Consider the following 9585-nt stretch of genomic DNA (forward strand, 5'->3'; position numbering starts at 1 on the left):
TTTTGTTTTGCTTTAAATAGACTTTATTTTAGGGGAGTTTTATGTTAACAGCAAAACTGAACAGAAAGCACAGGAAGTTCCCACACATTTTCTATACCCACACATGCCCAATAGCACCCAGTGGCAACATCCCAAGCCAGAGTGATACATTTGTTAGAACTGGTAAACCTATTTTGACACATTATTATCACCCTAAGTCCATAGTTTACCTTAGGATTCACTCTCGCTATTGTACATTCTATGAATTTAGACAAATGTATCCACTATTATAGTGTCATACAGAGTTGTTTCACTGCTCTAAAAGTCCACTGTGCTGCTCTTATCCATCACTCCTTCCTGCCAACCCCTGGCAACCACTGATCTTTTCACTGTCTTTTTGTCTTTTCCAGAATGCCTTATAATTGGAATAGTATAGTAATTAAAACGTCTTATAATTATATAATTATAATGTCTTATCATTGGTATAGTATAGTATATAGGCTGTTCAGGTTGGCTTCTTTCACTTATTAATATACATTTCCGTTTCCCCCATGTCTTTTCATGGCTTGACAAGTTCTCTTTAGTGCTGAATAACATTCCATTGTCTGGATGTACCACGGTTTCTTTATCCATTCACCTACTGAAGACATCCTGGTTGTGTCTAAGTTTTGACAGACAATTATAAATATAGTATCTATAAACTTCCACGTGCAGATAAAATTTCTACAAACATCCATGTGCAGGTTTTTGTGTGGGTGTAAGTTTTCAACTCATTTGGGTAAATATTAAGGAGCGTGATTGCTGGATCATGTGGTAATTGTACCTTTAGTTGTGTAAGAAATTGCCGATCTGTCATATTATTTATAGTTTATCATTTTTTTCTAGAAAATATTGGAATAAAAAGACTACCTATGCAGTTACAAACAGCGTCGTCAGAATGTATGCATAATGTTTATGAGTCTAGAGCCTAAAATCATTGGCTCAAATTATGAAAGAATATTTTATATCTATGTATTTTGTGCATAAATAACCAAATATAAGCTTGTTTATAAACAGACACTATAATAATTTTTGATATGGTAAGGCAATACAATTATATGCATTAAAATAATTTTAAAGTTAAAATTGCATTTAAGTAACTTAGATAATTTTAATTACTCATATAAATACCTTTTATTCATATAAGTTTTAAGATTTTCAAATCATTTCCTTTTGATCCTCACATTTTTTAGTAGCTAAAGAAACTGACAGACAAGTTAAACCATGTTTTCTAAAGTAACATTCTTGTTTTGAGGCCAAACTGGGGCTAGAACCTGGGTCCCTATATATTCAGCCCTATTGTCTTTCAATGCTCACTGATGATTTCACTATTATGATAAAACTTGATTCTCCAGAACTAAAAGTCTTATCAGACATTCTCATTCTAAATTCATGTAACACAAAGACAGGAGAGGTATATAATTTTCCCACAGACACACAGCACCTAAAGGAACTCATGTATTTTTGGAGCTTGCCTTCCATTTGGAAGAAGAAAGAATTATTTTACTTAAAATATAAAGAAGCAGTTATGCCTTACTTTGATTTAAAGTGAAATCTTAATTCATTACTTTGCTTGGTTTCCCTGTCAGAGACATAGAAGTTTTTGGCATATAATTGAAGCTTCATTAAAAGTATTAGCTTTTAAACTCAGTGAATGAAAGATTTGCAGTACCAATATTATGTGGGCTGATCTATTTCTTTAAAACTTCAAGCTCTTCATTAAAATATCCCTATTAGACTCACTAATTGGCAGATTGATTTTCCCAAAAGAAAATATCTAAAACAAATTGGAATTAGACCACAATGGGGAAAATGATGATGCTCTTACCATTTTCACTATAGCTGTAAAATTGTCCGCAGTGCTGGCCTCATCAGATTATAAAGCAATTATCATTAGTCGACTATTGCCTGTGAGAAGAATGTGCTAATAAATGTTTAAAATTAATTAAAAATGAAAAAGATAAATGCATCCTTTTGTGAATGTAGGTAAAGGGAATACATATTGTTATTAACCTCAGTGTGCTATTCTTTATTTCTTGATTTTGAACATGCACACCTGTGCACATGATGCATGCAGAAACACATGCACATATACACAGGTTTATACTGTCTGTCACTAAGACACAGTTATTAAAGAACCAGTATATTCATATCTAGAATGCAGGAGACAGAGTGACAATACCCAGGACTCAGTAGTTTATGCCTTTTTAAAACTTGAATCTGAAAACATGTAGATAAGTAAATTTTTCTGTTAGAAATTAAAAACAGGGGGATATTTTCCTTTGAGTAGAATGTTTCTCCCAATTTCTTAGTGTCAGGAGTAGGTTCACTAGAGTAATAAAAGATACTATCAGGGTTGGGTGCGGTGGCTCATGCCTTTAATCCCAGCACTTTGGGAGGCCGAGGAGGGAGGATCATGAGGTCAAGAGATCGAGACCATCCTGGCCAAATTGGTGAAACCCCATCTCTACTAAAAATACAAAAATTAGCTGGGCTTGGTGGTGGGCGCCTGTAATCCCAGCTACTCAAGAGGCTGAAGCAGGAGAATCGCTGGAACCTGGGAGGCGGAGGTTGCAGTGAGCCGAGATCACGCCACTGCACTCCAGCCTGGTGAAAGAGCAAGACTCCCTCAAAAAAAAAAAAAAGGAACGAAAGAAAGAAAGAAAGAGAGAGAGAAAGAAAGAAAGAAAGAAAAAGAAAGAAAAAGAAAGAAAGAAAGGAAGGAAGGAAGAAAGAAAGAAACTATCATAGGTTTGATATAAATTTCTACTTCTTGGCTAAAACCTAGTCAGATGTTTCAACTTGTTCTTAGAGACAGCTTTAGAATTATAACTGATTATTTTATTTTTCTCAGAGCAACCAATCAAGTAAGTTTTAGAAGATGTAGAGCTCTGTGTGTATGCCTTTTTATTAAGTAATGAAATTAGAGGTCTTTTATAGAGGTAGTAATTTTTTACTTTTAAAAAAATCTTTAACCAGATCTTCAATCTAGGTAATATTTTTCTATGGTGCCAGTCTCAGGCAGCAGTAATAGAGAGGAAAAAAATGGGATTAAAAGACAGTGGTGAGTTTTTACCCCAGCTCTAAGATTTACATGATAAGTGATCTTTGGCAAGTCACTTTGAGTCTCTTTTCTCTCATCTATACACTGGTGGTGATAATAATATCTACCCTGCAGGGCTATTGTGAATATGTAAAGCAAGATGTAAAGACTTAAGTGTACACACATGAAAGGTCTCAATTTTTATAATAATCGGTCCAGTTTTTAAAAAAGCAAGTATAAATTATGTAAAACAATCATTCAGATTATTCTGGCTAGATGATAAAGTTAGTACCTTATGACAGAGTTTCTGAGTCTCCTCAGAACTAACTTCTCACTTAGGTAAGAATTTCACTAGAACAATTTAATTCAGACTTAACGTGGTCTTGCATTGTTTTGCATGTCTACAGAAAGTCTCTCACTATTGACTCATGTGCCCCAGTATAACGGCTTCTCCTCTTAGCCATGCTGCCTTTTTCCTCTTTCACTAAGTTTTGAGAATATAGATCTTTCTCAGCAGCACACAGATACTTGCAAGTTTCTAGAGAAAAACACACACCAATGGAAAACAGATTAGAAAATCGAAGGCAAAATGTATAAATTTCTCTTTTCTGCCATTTTGCTTAATTTATATTGGCTTCAATATTGAATAAGTAGGGACTGGATGTGAAGTTCAGATATCATTAATCCTGCTACCTGACATGCTGGCCAATCAAGAGCAGAAATACTTCTCTTCTTCCAACAAATAGGTAATTCTGCCAGTTATTTTAATGCTACATGTGTGCATACATGTGAGCACATATATTTCCTCATTTTTTGTAATTTCAAGTTTTAAAAGCAGCCTGAAAGATTTAGATTAAGTTCAGAAACCATAAGAAGCCTTCAAGTAAGTAGAAAGGAAAAGTTGCCTTTGGTTATCACTCATCATCTATAAAATGAACACATGCCTCAGTTTTCCAGCTGTGGGCAAGCTTACATGAGATGAGGAGAAAGAAGTTAAACTTTACAACTAGTAATCAGCGGTCTCTTCTTTTAGTAGGCTATTGCAAACCCTCTTAAAGACCAAAGATCAAATCTTCAGTTGTTTCATTAGGCACAATATGCACTGTTTGACTTTTTGTTTTAATAATAACTAGCCTCATTTCCCCCAGACATCATTACTGTGAATGATTCTGTAGAAAATATAAAGCTTTAATGAAGTTTCCATTAAATTAAAGAGCAATAAACAAACAGAAACAATTGACAAGTCAGATCCATGAAATGTGTCTTATCTCATACATTTCTCTTGCACTCTTGCTTCACTAGTGCAGTACTTGGGAATAAACCAATTGATCAACAGGGAGTTGTTACCTTAATTATAAAATGAAACAACCTTGCTAATGTAGTCTGAAAGCCTTGTTCATTCTCCAGATCTGTAGTTCGAAATGGGCTTCAAATACAAATGCTTAGACAAGTAGTTGCTGCCTGATTTTGATGTGAAGGCTTGAAAGAGCCCCTGACCAGACTACAGCCTACTGATTCAAGCACCCTGGTTTTATTCCTGAATTTTATTTTTTTGGAATCTCTGCCTTTGCCCTTGGGGTGGAGATAAAATGCTAACAATTACTGGGTCCCAAGCAGCCTGCATTTTTGAATAGTTCATTCATGGGGAACCATTTGTTTGAGGAGGCTTTTTGTCTGATTATTGGCCTTTGCTGTTAGGGCTCAGGCAGAGATGTGATGACCCTTGCAGGAAAAATTAAAGAAGATGTAAACAGTAAATGCAGACATTTTGCAACATAGCTAAAAATAAATTGCACTACAGGCAATTATGCAAGTTTTACTGGATACATTAAAAAGACATTAAATTCACAGCTGTTTTAAGTGTCTTTTAAGTTGATAAATTAACTGTCTAATAAATTGTAAGATTTGTCAGCTAATAATGCTATTTTATCTGGTTTAACATATGCCTTCCTAGTTCATGAAGCATTATTGTAAGTGCCAAAAGGAGATAATGTGCATTTTACAGTGTTATGTCTTAAGTGGAATGGATCATTGGCCATGAAGAAGTGTGTTAATAAATCTCCTAGGCTTTGTTAATTGCACTCAATGAAGTGTCACTGTTAAAACACAAAAGATGTGATAGAGAAATCTGAACATAATGTCTTTCAGTTTTACAATTAACAGTTCACTAGGCAAATCGACCAAAAAGACCATAATTTGTTGAAGCCTTATTAACTTACATTTTCCTAGTCAAGGTCATAATTGTGGATGGCTTAAAGCTATCTTTTAATGCTCATTGCAAACAGTAACCTTGCTGGGGAGAAGGAACATTTTTCCTCCGAGTGGCACAAGATGCCTACCAGGTTCAAGAAAAATAAAGCCGTACTCTATCAAACAACAGATTTTTCAGAATCATTCCCCATAAAGCACCTGTGTTTGTCCTTGACTTGAGAAAAATACCATTTTGAATTGCTTGTGGAGGAGGGTAGTTCACATACTATGAAATTAAAACGCATGACTTCAGAGGCCATTAAGTGTAAGCCCTTGGCCACTAAAAAAAGTAATAATAATAAAATAAAGAAGTTTAATTTCTGTAGAATTGGTGTATTTTTTTTTTCATTTAAACTATGACAATAGATACCAGCATACTCAACATGAGAACTCAACATTAAACTGTCTTTCCCAAAAGTTTTGGAAAACTTACAATGGGAGTCTTTCTTTGTTTACGTGTTAGAACAAGAAGTGTTTTCTTTTTCTTCTACTGTTGAGAATGTGCCCTTGATCCAGTGCCTGTCAGTTTGCAATTCAGCTTTTGTAAAAGCATGAGTTGCATCTTTAGTAATGCTGCAGCTTTAACAATGACTTTTACAAATCAAGTGTGAAAGCAGAGAGGAAAAAGAAACCACATACTACCTTTAAAAGTAAATGGCACTTCATCTTGTAGGCCAAGTATTACATATTTCATGTGTTTGGTTTAGTATAAGATTGACCAAATTAGAATAGAAAAGCAAATTCAGAGCCATTCCAAAAATCTACAGCAGTATTTCTCTTTTATTCCTGACTAGTTGAGTAATTTCCTATGACACAATTTATTCATCTATAAACTGAAACAATAAAATCATCCACTTCATGGAATGAAGAGAAAAAAATGTATGTAAAAGTGCTTTAAAAAGCCAAAGTAATATTAGTTACTCTTAATTATAGGTCAAAATATCAATTATGTAATTCTTCATCTTCAAATAACTTTCACATTTAGTATCTCAATTATTCCTCACAACAATTTTTTGAGGAAAACAGGACAAGTATTTCCAAATACAAAATATTTTCTGATGGCCTGCTGAGTATAAGGTACTATGCTAGATGTTACAATGTTATAACCAAGTATGATATAGAGTTAGTTCTTCTTTCCTAGAGGTTATCATCTGGTTGTGTAATCACGTTGGTATTACAGTAAAGGAAACAGAAGCTCAGGAAAGTGAGATTACCTGCCCAAAGCTACAAAGCAAATCCAAGAGAAAAAAAAGTAAGCCTTCAGAAATATTTTATCACTGAAAAATCCTTCAAGCTATGAAACAAAGTCTCCTGTCAGTCCAATGCTTTTTCACATGTTCATACTGCTTCAGTTAGACCACACAGAAAATCAAAATGAAATAGGTCAAATGTTAGAAACCATTGTGGGAATTCTAAATACCATGTTGATATTTGGGCTAGGTGGAATGGAAGTGAAAGTACTTCAAGTCTTTTGTGCTATATTCAGTAAACTGTTTCAGTAGGACTGCCTCAGATAGCGTCATTTCTGGCTAGACCACCCCAAGGGAATGAGAAGTCCTAATTATCTTTACCACCAATCCTTTCTTTGATTGAACATGAATGAGATGATTTGATCTTAAGTGGAGATTATACACTGGGCAATGCCGGGTAGTCTTCAAATGAGCTTAAAAGAAGCTTTTAAAGAGTATACATCATCACTGGGAGAAACAGAATTGTTTGGGATTTTTTTTTTCTTAAACTCAAAACCATTTAGATCATTATTCCCTTTGAACTGCAGTTTCTACTTGAGATTGGAAACTGCAAGGGAAGAAATACCATCGGCTGCTTCATTGATGTCTTGACAGGCATATGTAGCAAAGAAAAAAATATAACAAAAGATATCCAATTTGCATGAATTTCTAGGTTCATGACTGGTGTATATACAGTTGGAAAAGTTAGTAGTACTTAAATTTCTAGATACAGTCAAGTCAATAAATTATGTACCATAGTGATCTCAAAATAAGTGCTTTTTTATACAATGAATTAAAAAAACATAAATTAAGAAAGAAAGAGAGAAAACTAAAAAAAAAAGGAAGGAAGAATGAACAAAGGAAAGAAAAAGGAGGAAAATATAGCATCCTATTTTCAGAAATGAGAAATGCAAGTATGTGTAGTTCTTCTATGTGACCAAGGTCCACATTCTTATAAAACATGTAAATTATGGCAGATCCTAACAAATTCACATATTGGATCCTACACTATATACTGGCTTAAGTCTTTGTGGTTTATTATTATTATTAATAAAAATAATAGCAATAATTTATTGAGCAATTGCTATGTACTGGACTCTACTATAAGCACTTTGCTTGTCTTAGCTCATTTAATCATAGAAATAACCTTAGGAGGCATGTTACATAAATATTCCCATTTAACAAATGAAAAATGAGAACACACTGAGAAGTTAAATAACTTGCCCTGAGTCACTTACAGAGACAGCCAGTTTGGTTCTAGAGCCCACTGTCAGGCCTCTGAGCCCAAGCTAAGCCATCATATCCCCTGTGACCTGCATGTATACATCCAGATGGCCTGAAACAACTGAAGATCCACAAAAGAAGTGAAAATAGCCTTAACTGATGACATTCCACCATTGTGATTTGTTTCTGCCCTACCCTAACTGATCAATGTACTTTGTAATCTCCCCCACCCTTAAGAAGGTTCTTTGTAATTCTCCCCACTCTTGAGAATGTACTTTGTGAGATCCACCCCCTGCCTGCAAAACATTGTTCCTAACTCCACCACCTATCCCAAAACCTATAAGAACTAATGATAATCCACCACCCTTTGCTGACTCCTTTTTCAGACTCAGCCCACCTGCACCCAGGTGAAATAAACAGCCTTATTGCTCACACAAAACCTGTTTGGTGGTCTCTTCACACAGACGCGTGAGACATTTGGTGCTGAAGACTGGGGTCAGCGAGACTCCTTCGGGAGACCAGTCCCCTGTCCTCACCCTCACTCCGTGAAGAGATCCACCTATGACCTCAGGTCCTCAGACCAACCAGCCCAAGGAACATTGCATCGATTTTAAATTGGGTAAGCGGCCTCTTTTTACTCTCTTCTCCAACCTCTCTCACTATCCCTCAACTTCTTTCTCCTTTCAATCTTGGTGCCACCCTTCAATCTCTCCCTTCTCTGAATTTCAATTCCTTTCATTTTCTGGTAGAGACAAAGGAGCCACATTTTATCCATGGACCCAAAACTCCAGCGCTGGTCACGGACTCGAGAAGGCAGCCTTCCCTTGGTGTTTAATCATTGTGGGGATGCCTGCCTGATTATTCACCCACATTCCATTGGTGTTTGATCTCTGCGGGGACACCTGCCTTGGTCATTCACCCACATTCCTTTGGTGGCATGTCAATTGCAGAGACGCCTACTTTGGCTGCTCACCCACATTGCAGCCCAGGGCTGCTCCCCACCCCCTTCTCGGTGTCTCTACCCTTCTCTTTAAACTTGCCTCCTTCACTATGGGCAAACTTCCACCCTCCATTCCTCCTTCTTCTCCCTTAGCCTGTGCTCTCAAGAACTTAAAACCTCTTCAACTCTTGCCTGACCTAAAATCTAAACATCTTATTTTCTTCTGCAACTCCGCTTGGCCCCAATACAAAGTCGATAATGGTTATAAATGGCCAGAAAACAGCACTTTTGATTTTTCCATCCTACGAGACCTAGATAATTTTTGTCAAAAAATGGGCAAATGGTCTGAGGTGCCTGATGTCCAGGCATTCTTTTACACATTGGTCCCTCCCTAGTCTCTGCTCCCAATGTGACTCGTCCCAAATCTTTCTTCTTTTTCTCCTGTCTGTTCCTTCAGTCTCCACCCCAAGCTCTGAGTCCTTTGAATCCTTTTTTTCTACGGACTCATCTGACCTCTCCCCTTCTCCCCAGGCTGCTCCTCACCAGGCAGGAGCCAGGTCCTAATTCTTCTTCAGCTTCTGCTCCCCCACCCTATAAGTCTTCTATCACCTCCCCTCCCCACATCTGGTCTGGCTTACAGTTTTGTTCTGCGACTAGTTCTCCCCAACCTGCCCAACAATTTCCTCTTAGAGAGGTGGCTGGAGCTGAAGGCATAGTCAGTGTACATGTGCCTTTTTCTCTATCAGACCTTTCCCACATCAGCCAGCGTTTAGGCTCTTTCTCATCAGACCCCACTGAATATATACAGGAATTCCGATATCTAACTCTGTCCTACAATTTAACCTGGAGTGACTTAAATGTCATCCTAACTTCTACCCTCT

At 36.6% G+C, this 9585-nt stretch overlaps 1 annotated feature.

Annotated features, from left to right (window-relative positions):
• Nucleotides 7545-8744: an enhancer, noted in NCBI's record as "BRD4-independent group 4 enhancer chrX:81981951-81983150 (GRCh37/hg19 assembly coordinates)". NCBI's record gives its function as "activates an origin of replication core promoter dependent on BRD2, P300/CBP, MED14 and CDK7 cofactors, and independent of BRD4, by STARR-seq in HCT116 cells {active_cell/tissue: HCT116}" and the evidence as "EXISTENCE:reporter gene assay evidence [ECO:0000049][PMID:35650434]".

Source organism: Homo sapiens, chromosome X, assembly GCF_000001405.40.
Source record: "Homo sapiens chromosome X, GRCh38.p14 Primary Assembly".
NCBI classification, from domain to species: Eukaryota; Metazoa; Chordata; class Mammalia; order Primates; family Hominidae; genus Homo; species Homo sapiens.